The following is a 15,874-nucleotide window of genomic DNA, read 5'->3' on the forward strand; positions in this document are numbered from 1 at the left end:
AATCTAGTATTTTTGAACACATGATGAAATATATTTGTCTATCTATACATGCATACATTCGTGGAATGCAAAACCCACAGTTAGGGCCAACTTTTGGTATCCATAGGTTCTGCATTGCCAGCTAGGGGAACTTGAACTTGTTGTATGCATTTTGGTATCTGTGGGGGATCCTGGAACTAGTTCTTTCTTACAATTCCCATATCTCTCCTTACATTATCCATCAGTTTTTGCTTGTTGTCTACTATTTTTGTGGAAGTCTTTAGCCTATAAATCACAGTCTTTTAAAATCCTACCACTCCTGCTACATCTGTCTCTGGTTAGTTTAGTTTTTGACTCTGGTTTAGTTTCTTCAGACTGTGTTTTTGCCTTTTCAGATAACTTGTATTTTTTGGTTGAAAGGTGGGAATTGTGTAAAAGGAACTGGAGTAAATAGGCCTTTAGTGGTATAGTGGTAAGGTGTGTGGGGAGGTAAAGCATCCTATGATTAGGTCTCTGCCTTTTGATGAGCCTTTGCTACTGGACTACAAACATAACTAGTGTATCCCAATTATTTTTATTTCCCTTTAGGTGGAACATAATGTCCAGAGGGGGCTGGAGTTTTGTATTTTTCTCCCCCTAGGTAGGTTAGATTTTAGTAAAATCCCAGCAAGTTGGTAGCTTAGTCTTCTAAGCTTACCAGAAACTGGAAGTCCTACTTAGGCTTTTTTTATTTTTTGAGACAAGAGTTTCACTCTGTTTCCCAGGTTAGAGTGCAGTGGCATGATGTTGGCTCACTGCAACCTCCACATCCCAGGCTCAAGCAGTTTCCCACCTCAGGCTCCCTAGTAGTCTGCCACCATGCTCTGCTAATTGTGTGTGTGTGTGTGTGTGTGTGTTTTTGTTTGTTTGTTTGTTTGTTTGTTTTTTAAGAGATGGAGTTTGCCATTTTGCCCAGGCTGGTCTTGAACTTTTAGGCTCAAATGTTCCACCTGCCTCTGAAGCAGAGTATCTCCCTGACCGCTTTGTGGGATGGGAACTGGAGTGCATGGGCTCCAGCAGGGGTGAACTCCACTCACTTACTGCTCCACCCCTCATGGGAGGGGGAGCACAGGTAAGCGGGTGCAGGAGCTGGGGGCAAGTGCTTTTGGGTGCTGGCAAGAGCAAACTTCATACTGGCGCCGCCACAGTGTGTAGGGGAGGGTACCCACAACCCTCTAAAGCCCCAAAGGAAGTGTTACAGTGCCCTTTTAGCTTTGCCATCCACAGACGGCTTAAGTGTTAACAGCTCAATGGAGGGTCAGTGTGACAGCATTTTGCACCCACACTCTTGGCACCCAAGTTCTTGTCCAGTGTTGAGGAGGAATCAGGTCGCATAAGTGAATTGAGGGTGGTAAATGTGGGGTATTTTGCTGCAGATGAAAGTGGCTCTCGGTGGGAAGCGGAGCTGAAAAGGGGATGGAGCGGGAAGGTAATCTTCCCCTGGTGTCCAGCCAGAGGTGGCTGGACTCTTCTCTGAAGCTGCGCTCTCGAGCTGTCCCTCTGAAGTCAGGCTGCTTCTCTCTGATATCTAACCATAGTCTCCGACGTCCAGCTGCTTCTCCTGTCTGTGCTGGCTGAGCCTGGGGTTTTTGTGGGCACAAGATGGAGAGTGGGGAGGGGCAGGCCATGGGTGGTTTTGGAAAAGGCAGCATTCGAGCAGGAAAACAGGGATGTAAATTCTTACTTTGGGCCATGGTACCAGGCTTTTTGGCTTGAGGGTTGGGCCCTCACCAGGGATCTGCCCTCTTTTGTCCAGAATTTCCCTGCCTCCTGTCCCTATGACCTCAGCCTCCCAAAGTACTAGAATTACAGGCATGAGCCACCATACCTGACCTAATAGTCCATTTTATGTGTTTGCTGCATTTTGTTTATCCATTTTGCATTCCCATCAAGAGTGTACAAGGGTTTCAACTTTCCACATCTTTGTCAACTTCTGTTTTATAATAGCCATCCTAATGGGTTATCCCATTGTGGTTTTGATTTGTGTTTCCCTAATGATTAGTGATTTTTAGCATCTTTTCATGGACCTATTGGCTATTTGTATATCTTTGGAGAAATATGTGTATTCAAGTCCTTGGGATAATACTGACACAAGAGTTTAAGAAATTGTCAAGCCTTTTCTGAGCATGTGTTTTGACTGGCCTTGGCTGCTTTTGTTCTTTGTGTGTGTGTTACTGGGTTTCTCACTCTGTCACCCAGGCTGGAGTACAATGTTGCAGTCATAGCTCACTGCAGCCTCCAACCCCTAGGCTCAAGTGATTCTCCCACCTCAGCCTCCCAGGTAGCTGAGACTGCAGGCATGCATCACCACATCCGGCTAATTATTTTATTTTATTTTTCAGTAGAGACAGGTCTTGCTGTCTTGCCCAAGCTGGTTTTGAATTGCTGGGCTCAGGCAGTCCTGCCTCAGCCTCCCAAAGTGCTGGGATTACAGGCATGAGGCACAGTGCTCAGCCACCCTGGCTGCTTTTAGATGTCTTAATTTCCCAAATCATCTCACTCCAGCTTGGTCACAGGGCCTAAGATGGTCCATTGCATGTCTCCAGCTATAATAGCTTGCCTCAGGCCTCTGCTGGACTGTAGCTGGCTTGCAGCTTTTCCAACCTGAGAACCTAGTTAGGTGAAACAGACCAGACCTTAGACAGATCTGAATATTGCTAATGAGATCTGCCCTACACCCTCCAATTTTACGTAGGGAATTGGGCTGCCTAAAGTCTTCTAGATCAAGACAACTTTGCATTGTGGAAAGGGTAGGGCAAGGGTGAATAAAATACCATCTTTTCTACCATTTTCAATGCAGCTCTTTCTTTTTTTAAAATTTTCTTTGAGACGGAGTCTTGCTCTGTCGTCCAGGCTGGAGTGCAGTGGCGTGGTCTCGGCCCACTGCAACCTCCTCCTCCCAGGTTCCAGAGATTCTCCTGTCTCAGCCTTGTAAGTAGCTGGGATTACAGGCATATGCCTTCACACCTGGCTAATTTTTATATTTTTAGTAGAGATGGGGTTATGCCATGTTGGCCAGGCTGGTCTTGAACTCCTGACCTCAAGTGATCTGCCCACTTCAGCCTCCCAAAGTGCTGAGATTACAGGTGTGAGCCACCGTGCCCGGCCTCAATGCAGCTTTCTTGATTGGGCATTTGCTTGGTGCTGTAGACCTTTCACTGTTTCTCTTTTTCTTTTTCTTTGAGACGGAGTTTCGCTCTTGTCGCCCAGGCTGGAGTGCAGTGGCGCAATCTCGGCTCACTGCAACCTCTGACTCTTGGGTTCAAGTGATTCTCCTGCCTCAGCCTCTTGAGTAGCTGGGATTACAGGCTCCCACCACCACACCCAGCTAATTTTTTGTATTTGTAGTAGAGACAGGGTTTCGCCACGTTGGCCAGGCTGGTCTCAAACTCCTGACCTCAGGTGATCCACCCACATCGGCCTCCCAAAGTGCTGGGATTACAGGTGTGAGCCACTGCCCTGGGCCTCCTTTCACTGTTTTTCAGAGGTTCAGTAAGATTATTTTAGCCAGTTCCTGGTGGTGGTTTTTTTTTTTTAATGTTAGGCAAGGAGGGGATGATGAGGGCTTGGAATTTCCTATTCCACCACTTTGCTGACATCCTTTAGTGGTTCTTTAAGCTCTGGTCAGCAATTGGTAAACAATCTTTGCTGTGTGCCTGGAAATGTCTTTATTTGCTTTATTCTTCAATGATAGTTTCGTTGGGTTTTAAATTGTGGAGAGTCAGTTACTTTGTACTCCAGTGTTTTGAAGATGTTGTTTTTATTTTGGCATCTTATATATGTAGAATAGTCTCCTGTCATTTGTAGTTAATCTGATATTCCTCTTGGATACCTGCGGATTTTTTTTTAACTTTTTTAGCTTTTACAATATCTCAAGCGAGGATATATATTTTATCCTTTTGAGGATCTTGAGCATACTTATTTTAAAGTCATTTCAGATTGCTTTATCATGTTTGTTTCATCAGGATAGAATTCATCTCTTGATTACTAAGTTTATTGCCTGTTTTTCTTACTTTTTTCATGTGCCTTAACATTTTACTTTGCAGGCTTATTTTAGAGTATGAAGTACTCTCCTTCCTCTTCCCCTGCCCAAGTTTGTTTCTTGCTGAATAGTAACTTTGGTTGCTTCTGCTTGGTGTCTTGGGTCCCTTGGCCTAGAACTAGAACTAGAACTTTTATTGTGGACTGGAGCTTGAGACCCTGTTGGTATTGGAGATTTTTGTAGATTTAATGACCAAATCAACACATAAATGGGCACAGGTCTGTATAATGTGAGGCTGTTTTCTCTTGCCACTCTAGCCTTTAGCTTTTACTTAGCAGGTGATTCCTACTTGCCCTTTGTTTCTGCCATTGATCAAGACTTTAGTTGCTTATCTCATTTGGAGCACTTTTGATCCTAAGGAATCAAATTACTGGACTCTTCTGCCCTTTGTAATATATGGAGCCCAACACATTTAGGTCCATTAATTGAAGTCACAGTCACGCTTTCCTATTCCATTTCTGTTTATGGAGATAGTAATCTTGTGTTTTAACATGGCTGAGTATTTAAAAAATTAAAAACTGTATATTTACTGCATTGTGTATTTTTGGGGTGGTGTTACCTCTTCTTTAATAAGGAAGAAGGAAAAATGGTTCAGAATCTTAGCATTCAGATAATCTGACATTTTAACATTAATAACTATTGTATGCGTATCCTAAGAGTCAAAAAGTACTAATGGCATAATTAAAATGCAGACACTTTGTGAAGATAATGCCCATCACCTGCCTTCTTGAATATTCTTCCGGGGGAAAGCGTTATGCATGCAACAGAAAATTATATATATATACACACACACACACACACACACACACTCTCTTTAATTTTTTTACGCAAAAGAATCATACACATTGCTCTGAATATTATTTTTCCCTGACTTAATATTTTAGAGGTTTTTATATGTCAGCCCAGCCAAAATTCTTTATTCTTCCATTTTTAGTTGAGGTATAATTCATACAATATACCGCATAGGTCTTCTTATTGGTGGACGTTTGTGTTGTTTCCAGTTTGCAACTTTGAATAAGTCAGCTATAAACAAATCTTTTTGATGACGTTTATTGTTGTTTTTCTTGGGAATGTACCCAATATTTAGTATGGCTGTATACTATTCAGTTGTATAGAATTGTGATTTAGAAATACCCGTAGACATTTTGTTTGAAACAACTGGGCAGGAGGTTGCTCTTGGCAGCTAATGGATAGAGGCTAAGGATGCTGCTAAATATCTCGTAAGGCATAGTACAGCCCCCAACAACAAAGAATTATTCTGTTCAGAAATATCAGTTCTTGAATTTATATTATACATATTTTATTTAGAAAACAAATGCTTCTTGTTAAAGCAAAAAAAAAAAAAAGACTCATTTTAAAACCTTTGCTCAGATCATTGCCACATCTTAACTCAGGATCTACTATTATTTCAAAGTTACAAGATGAGATCCATCGTGTAGTATCTGTTTACTACCATAGCCATGAATAGACACGGAGGAGGAGAATGTTCTATTATTAAGTAACCTGAATATAAGGAAAAACATGAAATTGCTTTAAGTCTGAAAAAGTGAGAAACTAGAATAAGTTGAGATTTTAAATTCATGTGAAGAAAAGAGTTTGTTAATTAAAATTGATTCAGGCTGGGCATGGTGGCTCACGCCTGTAATCCCAGCACTTTGGGAGGCCAAGGCAGGAAGATCATGTGAGGCCAGGAGTTCAAGACCAGCCTGGGCAACATAGCAAGACCTTGTCACTACAAAAAATAAAATAAAAAGAAGAAATTAGCCGGACGTGATGGTGCACACCTGTAGTCCTAGCTACTCGGAGAGGCTGAGGTAGGAGGATTGATTGAGCACAGGAATTGGAGGCTGAAGTGAGCTATGACCATTGCACTCTAGCCTGGGTGACACAGTGAGACCCTGTCTCTGGATAGATGATAGGTGATTGTTAGATTGATCGATTGATTTAGGTAGATTGTATGACTACTTACTGAGTGTCTACTATATATTGACACTTTGAAAGGTACAGTGTTTGAGGAGGACACTGTCCTCACCCCATCAAGTGCTTGTAGGTCTACTAGAGGACAATAAAATAGTGGTTATAATAGAAGTACAAATAAGGTACTTGGAGAACACAGAGGAATTATCTGGTAAGGCAAAGGAATGGTGAAGTTTCGTGGAAAAGTTGTATTTTACCTAGGCCTAATGGTACCAAAGTAGACTTAAGGCAAAGAAAGGAGCCTAAATCTGAGATATGGGAGAAGGAAGGAGAACTTGGAGAAAGGATAATTTGACCTAATTATTGCCAAATTCAGAAATATAAGGGTTTGAACTAGGGGAGCAGTTCAAAGCTGTTCATGGGAGACAGTAATCTTGTATTTTAACATGGCTGGAAATAGAATGAGCTAGTTTACCTGAAAGGTATTTTGAAAGTAAATATATTGGTTCTGGTGACCTATTGACGCTTAGAAAGTTTGTTTATGTTCTTATGAGCAGGAAGTTAGTGCCTACTACCCTCACCTTAATACCTTTATTATGTATGCATAAGAAGCTTTGTCTCATAGATGAAAAATATTTTATTAAATCATATAGTATTTAATGACATCTAAGGAATCAAGCTATATTTGGACTGAATGTGAGTTCATTTAGTGGTACTCATGGGTGTAAAAATCCTTGATTTTGTTTTTGTTGGTGGCCACTGGGTTTAGATGTTGTCATGTTTTACTTGCCCATAGTATTGTGTAGCTTCTCAAAGTTTATTTTAGTTGTTTCTTTTTATTAACTAATTCAACACAGGAAGTAGGAAGGGGTTAACTTGTATTCCAAATTATTTTATAAAAATAGATATATTTATTTATTTAAAATAAAAAGCATCTTCCAGATGGAGAAAGTAATAAATGCCAAGAGGCAAACTGAATTCTATCTTCGATGTTCCAGTTAGCCATTGGTTAAAACCTTTGGAGTTCTTTGTAGTCCTTTTATGAGACTTGATGTCAGCTAAGCAAATAATACATTAAGGATCAGAAATTTCACTTCAGGGGAAAATGAGGAGAATTGAGGTAGTTTTCTCGCTTCTGTCATCTTCTGGATTATATTTCTTAAATTTCATCTAATAGGCAATAAGAAAAACTGTCCTTATATGGGTACAGAAAGTTTGTAGGTCAAATCAAAAATTTTGTTTTCCTTGGTCAGAGAGCTGCAGAATATTTGGTAATGATGTCAGCTGTGGGGTATTGCTGCCTACTTATCAGGCAGCAATATTTATCAAGCAGGCTAAAATTTTTTTTTTTCTTTTTTACATGGATCCTTGCTTTGTTGCCCAGGCTGGAATGCATTGCCACAATCTTGGCCCATTGCATCCTCTACCTCCTGGGTTCAAGTGATTTTCCTGCCTCAGCTTCTAAAGTAGCTGGAACTACAGGCGCACACCACCATGCCCAGCTAATTTTTGTATTTTTAGTAGAGACGGGGCTTTGCCATGTTGGCCAGGCTGGTGTCGAACTCCTGACCTCAGGTGATCTGCCAGCCTCAGCCTCCCAAAGTTCTGGGAATATAGGCGTGAGCCACTGTGCTCAGCCTAAATTTTTTTTTTTTAATGTAAATACCAAGAGATTAAGCTTTAAAACAGAGGGGAAGTATTGCTAAGTAGATGAGATACATAATTAGCTTTGGGTCAAAAATTTTAAAACTTTATTCACTGAACTTTTGCCTGTTTTTGTTTAATGACATATTTATGGGAATGGTTATTGATTTTAGACTTTCTTCGTTTTTTTTTTTGTCTGTCTGTTTGTTTTTTAAGACGTAGTTTCGCTCTTATTGCTCAGGCTGGAGTGCAATGGCGGGATCCCGGCTCACTGCAACCCCTGCCTCCCAGGTTCAAGGAATTCTCCTGCCTCAGCCTCCTGAGTAGCTGGGATTACAGGCATGCACTGCCACGCCCCGCTAATTTTGTATTTTTAATAGAGACAGGGTTTCTTCATGTTAGTCAGGCTGGTCTCAAACTCCCGACCTCAGGTGATCTGCCTGCCTCAGCCTCCCAAAGTGCTGGGATTACAGGTGTGAGCCACTGCCCTGGCCTAATTTTAGACTTTTTATTGTCTGTATTAATCTCTTCAGTGCAGCAAGTTAACCAATTTTGTTACAACTGAAAGATTTCTTCCTCACATGGTAGTGTTTTCCAGTTTTGGAGTGGAAAACCATTGTTAGTTCTATTTTAGTTTTAAGGATGGGCCTAATTTTAGAAAGCTACAAGTTTGGTGTCTGCTTGAAAATTATTTTCTTTTTATAAGGTGCTATTTAGGGAGGCTGGGTAATTTCTTTCTCCAAGCAGTTAAAATGAAAAGTCTACTAGCTTTGTCTTTCTTTTAAGAACTTTTTATTTTGAAATAGTTGGAAATTTATAGAGATGTTGCAAAAATAATACAAATAGCTCGTATATACTGTTTATTCAGTTTTCACCCATTGTTAATATTTGGCCACATTTGCTTTGCCACTCCGTGTAGTTTGTTTGTTTGTTTTCTGAGCTATTTAGATCAAGGTGCCCCAAATTCTTAAGCATGTATTTCCTTTTTTTTTTTTTTTTTTTGACGGGTCTTGCTCTGTCTCCCAGGCTGGAGTGCAGTGGTGTGATCACAGCTCACTGCAACGTTGACCTCCCTGGGTAGGAGTATAGGTGTGTGTCATGACACCCAACTAATTTTTGTTTGTTTTTTGTGGAGATGAGGTATTTCATTATGTTATCCAGGCTGGTCTTGAACTCCTGGGCTCAAGCAATCCCAACTGCCTCAGCCTCCCAAAGTGCTGAGATTATAGATGTGAGCCACCTCACCCAGCCAGTTTCAGGAATTTTAATACTGCTATTAATTACTTTCTTTTTTGAGACGGAGTTTCGCTCTTCTTGCCCAGGCTGGAATGCAATGGCACGATCTCTGCTCACTGCAGCTTCTGCCTCCCGCGTTCAGGCAGTTCTCCTGCCTCAGCCTCTCAAGTAGCTGGGATTACAGGCATGTGCCACCACGCCCAGCTAATTTTTTGTATTTTTAGTAGAGACGGGGTTTCACCATGTTGGCCAGGCTGGTCTTGAACTCCTAACCTCAGGTGATCCTCCCGCCTTGGCCTCCCAAAGTGCTGGTATTACAGACGTGAGCCATCGTGCCCAGCCTTATTAATTACTATTAACTAATATATAGTTCATACTCAAAAATAGCTATATCATTTTAGCATTTTTTTCTCCTTTATCCAGGATTTCAAGATCACACATTGTATTTGTCATGTGTCTTTAGTTTCCTTTAATCATGACTTTTTTTTTTTTTTTGCCTGTGTCTTTTTTGACATTTTTGTAGAGTACAAGTGAGCTTTTCTGCAGAATGTCCCTCAGTTTGGATTTGTCTGATATATACTAAGGATTAGAGTTAGGTTATGCATTTTTGGTAAGAATATCACATAAGTGAAATGCTGTACTTCATAATTCTTTAGATCAGGAGGCATATACCCATTTTTCTCAACATTTGATTACTTGGTTAAGGTCTTCCAAGTTTCCTTACTATATAGATATAGTGTTTTTCTTTATTAATAATATGTGGGGAGATTGAGACTGTAAATATCCTATTTTTATATCAGACTTTGAATAGTTTTAGCCTCCATTGATGAATCTTGCCTCAATCAATTATGATGTTGTTACAAAATGGATTTTCCCCCCCTCATCTCTATTATTCATTCTGTATTTATTAGTTGGTATTGTACTGTAAGGAAGGATTTTCTCTCTCTCTCTTTTTTATTTTGGAGATGAGTTTCACTCTTGTTGCCCAGGCTGCAGTGCAATGGCGTGATCTTGGCTCACCATAAGCTCTGCCTCACAGCTTCAAGCGATTCTCTTCCCTCAGCCTTCCAAGTAGCTGGGATTACAGGCATGCGCCACCACGCCCGGCTAATTTTGTATTTTTAGTAGAGACGGAGTTTCTCCATGTTGGTCAGACTGGTCTCGAACTCATGACCTCAGGTGATCCGCCTGCCTCGGCCTCCCAAAGTGCTAGGATTACAGGTGTGAGCCACTGCGCCTGGCCCATGAATTTTCTCTATTATCTTCTGGATTTATGGTCTCATTCAAAAAATTATAATCCATTACTGTCACTATTCATTTTGCTTAAATTGTCAGGGTTAGGGACAGTGGGAGCCTCGACCTACCTGGCCTCAGGTGATCCCAAGCCGAGCCTCTTGAGTAGCTGGAACTACAGGCATGTACCACTGTGCCCAGCTAAGTTTTGTATTTTTTTGTAGAGACAGAGTTTTGCTATGTTGCCTAGCCTACCTTGGAACTCCTGAGGTTCAAGCAGTCTGCCTGCCTCAACTTCCTGGAGTTCTGGGATTACAGGGATGAACCACCACACCGTGCAATTAATGGTTTTTGAATATACATCCTAAGTGTTTCTGCTGGAGAACGCAAAGCTTAAAATAGCATTCTTCATAAAAAGTTGATGTAGTAATAACGAGCTGTTTCTTAGAACTCATTTTGAAAATGCAGTAACCAAGGCCTGAAGTAATGACCTATGTGAAGTCCATTAAAATGTCTTCTTTCCTGGACAGTATTTGTATGGTCATCCGTGATGTTTTCTTCTTGACTATTCATTATTTCATAAGACTTTTAAATCTTTTTGTCTGATTACACACACACAACACGATTGCAAAAATGTATTTAGTCTAAATAAGAAAAGGAGAGTAGAGAGAAAAGTTGTAGTTTTCTTATTGAGAATTACAGTGTTCATGGGGAATGGGTGGGAGGAGTGATACCCCCCGTCCCCCAGCCAAGCTAATTGGTGAGGGAAGCTCCAAGAAATTTCATTTATATAGATGGAAGATGTTACAAAAAGTGACTGGCATGTTACTTCTCAACTGGATAGTTTCTGAGTTAGTAGTTTTGTTGGAATAGTCCATTCCATCAGAACATTTAAGAGATCTTGGTAGTTTGTGTGTGGTAAGACAGACAAGGACAGTTCCTTCTCTGTGAATTAGAGATCTACCATACAGCTTTGTCACATTTGAGGTTAACACTTAGGATTCTAGTATTGCTGGTGAGCTAGAAAAATGCCTTTTCATTCCACCATTCTGAAAGTCTTGCTTCTAGAAAAGACTTTTTTAAATTGATGATCTTAGTTTGGGCTGCTATAACAAATTACCATAGACTGGATAGCTTAAACAACAGAAATTGTTTCTGTTGTTCTGAAGAACAGTGTTCTGGAGGCTGGTAAGTTCGATATCAAGGTACTGGCAGATTTGTTTCTGATGAGGGCCCACTTCCTGGTTTGCAGATGGCCGTCTTGCTGTGTCCTTACATGGAGAAGAGAGAGAGCACGTGCACAAGAAAGCATGTGTACAAGCTCTCATCTCTTCCTTTCTTTTTAAAAATTATTTTTCTTAGAGAGATGAGTTCTCACTATGTTGCCCAGGCTGGTGTTGAACTCCTGGACTCAAGTGATCATCCCACCTTGGCCTCCCAAAGTGCTGGGATTACAGGTGTGTACCACCATGCAGGGCCATCTCTTTTCTTTTTTTGAGACAGGGCCTGTCACCCACGCTGGTGCGCAATGATGCAATCACAGCTCAGCTTGAACCTCATAGGTGCAAGCTATCCTACTGCTTCAGCCTCCTGAGTAGCTGGGGCTATAGGCATATGCCATCATGCTGGACTGATTTTTAAAAATTTTTTTGTAGAGACGAGGTCACACCATGTTGCTCAGGATGATCTTGAACTCCTTGGGCTCAAGCGACCCTCCTGCCTCGGCCTTCCAAAGTGGAGTTAACAGGTGTGAGCCACCACACTTGGCTTCTTGTCTCTTCTTATAAAGGCACTAATCCCATTGATGAGAGCTCTACCTCCTTGTGTCATCACATTGAGGGTTAGGATTTCAACACTTAACATTTTGGGGGACACAAACATTGAAATGATGACTGATGTATTTATATTTTCTCTTTTTTTCCCAGACAGGGTCTCGCTCTGTCACCCAGGCTGGGGGTGTGGTGGCATAATCTCAGCTCACAGCAACCTCCGCCTCTTGGGTTCAAGCAGTTCTGCCTTAGCCTCCCCAGTAGCTGGGATTACAGACGCTCACCACTGCGTTTGGCTAATTTTTATATTTTTAGTAGAGGCAGGGTTTCACCATGTTGGCCAGGCTGGTCTCAGACTCCTCACCTCAAGTGGTCTGCCTGCCTCGTCCTCCCAAAGTGCTGGGATTATAAGTGTAAGCTACCACACCCAGCCATATTTGTATTTTCTAGTTTCTGAATTCTTTGATACGGTAAATAATAATACCAACATGGTGAATAACAACACATTCTATTTTGTGTCCCCTCTTTTAGAATACTTTTTTCCCCGATGGTCATTATAGACTTATTTTTTACAGTGTTTTTTATTTCAGTAGTTTTTGGAGAACAGGTGGTGTTTGGTTACATGGGTAAGTTCTTTAGTGGTGGTTTCTCAGATGGGTGCACCCATCATCCAAGCAGTGTACACTGTACCCAGTGTGTAGTCTTTTATCCCTCACCCCCTCCCACTCTTCTCCCTGAGTCCCCAAAGTCCATTATATCATTCTTATGCCTTTGCGTCCTCATAGCGTAGCTCTCACTCGTAAGTGAGAACATACGATGTTTGACTTTTCTTTCCTGAATTACTTCACTTAAAATAATGGTCTCCAACTCCAGGAAGATGCTTTATTCTTTATTAATATTTTAAAGAGCATATGTCTACTTTTGCTGTTTTCTCTACAATTGACATGCACTTAGAGAATTCTCATGGTTGTTTGACCTAACAGTGATAACTGAGCTACTCTTAAAAATAGGAGAACCCGACTGGATGTGTTAGCTCATGCCCATAATCCCAGCACTTTGAGAGGCTGAGGTGGGCAGATCACTTGAGGTCAGGAGTTCAAGACCAGCCTGGCCAACATGGTGAAACCCCATCCCCTCTAAAAAATACAAAAATTAGCCAGGCGGGGTGGCTCACGCCTGTAATCCCAGCATTTTGGGAGACTGAGGCGGGCAAATCATGAGGTCAGGAGTTCGAGACCAGCCTGGCCGATATGGTGAAACCCCAGCTCTACTAAAAATACAAAAATTAGCTGGGTGTGGTAGTGTGTGCTGTAGTCCCAGCTACTTGGGAGGCTGGAGCAGAAGAATTGCTTGAACCCGGGAGACGGAGGTTGCAGTGAGCCGAGACTGAGCCACTGCACTCCAGCCTGGGCGACAGAGGGAGACTCTGTCAAAAAAGATTTTTTAAATAAAAAAATTAGCTAGGTGTGGTGGTGTGTGTCTATGGTCTTGGCAACTTGGGAGGCTGAGGCAGGAGATTCACTTGAGCCTGGGAGGCAGAGGTTGCAGTGAGCCGAGATCGCACCACTGCACTCCAGCCTGGGCGACAGAGCAAGACTCCACCTTAAAAAAAAAAAGGAGAATCAGTTCTTCAATTTGAAGTATAACTTGATGGAAGGAAAAAATAAATCAATAAAATAGAAGAACCAGGAGGGAGCGGCGCAAGGGTTATAAAACTAACTGTTGGGGCTGGGTGCGGTGGCTCATGCCTGTAATCCCAGCACTTTGGGTGGTGAGGCGGGTGGATCACGGGGTCAGGAGATCGAGACCAGCCTGGCTAACATGGTGAAAACCCCATCTCTACTAAAAATCCAAAAAATTAGCCTGGCGTGATGGCGGGTGCCTGTAGTCCCAGCTACTCGGGAGGCTGAGGCAGGAGAATGGTGTGAACCCAGGAGGCAGAGCTTGCAGTGAGCCGAGATGGCGCCACTGCACTTCAGCCTGGGCGACAGAGCAAGACCAAAACTAACTATTGGGTACTGTGCTCACTCCCTGGGTGACAGGATCAGTTATACCCCAGACCTCAGCATCATGCAAATATACTCATGTAACAAACCTGCATGTGTACCCCCGAATCTAAAATAAAAGTTTAAATTATTAAAAAAGGAGAGCTTTTTTTTTTGTTTTTTTTGAGAGAGTCTTGCTCTTGTGCAATCTTGGCTCACTGCAACTTCCGCCTCCCAGGTTCAAGCAATTCTCGTGCCTCAGCTTCCCAAGTAGCTGGGATTACAGGCATGCGCCACCATGCCCACCTAATTTTGTATTTATAGTAGAGATGGGGTTTCACCATGTTGGCCAGGCTAGTCTCAAGCTCCTGACCTCATGATCCGCCCGCCTCAGCCTCCCAAAGTGTTGGGATTACAGGCACGAGCCACCATGCCCGGCTGGAGAGCCTTTTAATAACATTTGTTACACATTTAACATAAAAATCATTAATCATCAATAGTTTTAGCCTAAAAAGTAGAAGGGAAAGCATGTGGATTTTAATGCTTTTCATTTGACTATTCTGTGGTTTCTACTGCCATCCTAAAGAATGACACTGTCCCTTTCTACGCTACCTAGAGAGGGAGGGGTCCATGTGGCCTTCTCATTGTAACTTACAGGGAAGTTTTCATGGTGTCTGGAACCTTTATGTCCTACAAAGAGCACATGGAGGAGGAGGATGTCCTCAAGTTCCTTGCAGCAGGAACCCACTTAGGGGGCACCACCCTTCACTTTCAGATGGAATATGTATCTATAAAAGAAAAAGTGATGGCATCTGCATCATCAATTTGAAGAGGACCTGGGAGAAGCTTCTACTGGCAGCTCCTTCTGTTGTTGCCATTGAAAACTGTATTGATGTCAGTGATATATCCTCTAGGAATGCTGGCTGGCAGCCTGTGCTGAAGTTTGCTACCACCACTGGAGCCACTCCTGTTGCTGGTTGCTTGACTCTTGGAACCTTCACTAACCAAGTCCAGGCAGCTTTCCAGGAGCTGTGCCTTCTGATGGTTATTGATCCCAAGGCTGACCACCAACCTTTCACAGAGACATCTTAGTTAACCTGCCGACCATTACTCTGTGTAACAGATTCTCTGCACTGTGTGGACATTGGCATCCCATGCAGCAACAAGGGAGCTCTCTCAGGGGGTCCAATGTGGTAGATGTTGGCCCTGGGAAGTTCTGCAAACGCATGGCACCACCTCCTGTGAACACCCATGGTAGATTATGTCTGGTCTCTACTTCTGCAGAGATTCTGAAGAGATTGAAAAAGAAGAGCAGTCTGGGCACGGTGGCTCAGGCCTGGAATCCCAGTACTTTGGGAGGCCGAGGCGGGCGGATCACCTAAACTCAGGAGTTGGAGACCAGCCTGGCCAACATAGGGAAACCCTGTCTCTACTAAAAATACAAAAATTATCCGGGTGTGGTGATGCTCGCCTGTAATCCCAGCTACTTGGGAGGCTGAGGCAAGAGAATTGTTTGCACCTGGAAGGCAGAGGTTACAGTGAGCTGAGATTGCGCCACTGCACTCCAGCCTGGGTGACAGAGCCAAGAGTCTGTCTCAAAAAAAAAAAAAAAAAAAAAAATTCCGGAAGTCCTAAAAAATAATCTGGAATGCTCAAGGATGGAATGAAAGTAAATATCAGTAAGGAAGGAGGCTGCCATTTGTCTGTTCCTTGATTCCTGAGAAGAAAACCACTGGTACTTACTATTATTAAGAGTATAGCCAAACTGTCCACTAGTACTTACTATTATTAAGAGTATAGCCAAACTCTGCTTTCAAAAAAACAGAAGTTTATGGTAGGTCATATGAGGAGTTCCCCCACTTAATTATGGGGAGGGAGAGATTGTTACCATTCAGATCAGAGCATAATCAGCCCTTAACACTGTCACTCTGCTTTGACAACAGCAGCAACCTTTTAATACACACAATACCTTTTATATCCTAATCAACAGGAACAAAGATTGCTTCCCCACCCCATTGCTGTTCGAGGGT

At 42.3% G+C, this 15,874-nt stretch overlaps 1 protein-coding gene and 1 pseudogene across 43 annotated transcripts in view; both read left to right on the plus strand.

Moving 5' to 3' along the window:
• The window catches only part of RIMKLB (ribosomal modification protein rimK like family member B), a 114,454-nt gene that overhangs the window by 59,276 nt on the left and 39,304 nt on the right, over positions 1 to 15,874 (plus strand). The gene's annotated exons all lie outside the window — the stretch shown is intronic.
• On the plus strand, positions 14,445 to 15,163 carry RPSAP51 (ribosomal protein SA pseudogene 51; annotated as a pseudogene).

Source organism: Homo sapiens, chromosome 12 (assembly GCF_000001405.40).
Source record: "Homo sapiens chromosome 12, GRCh38.p14 Primary Assembly".
Lineage (NCBI taxonomy): Eukaryota > Metazoa > Chordata > Mammalia > Primates > Hominidae > Homo > Homo sapiens.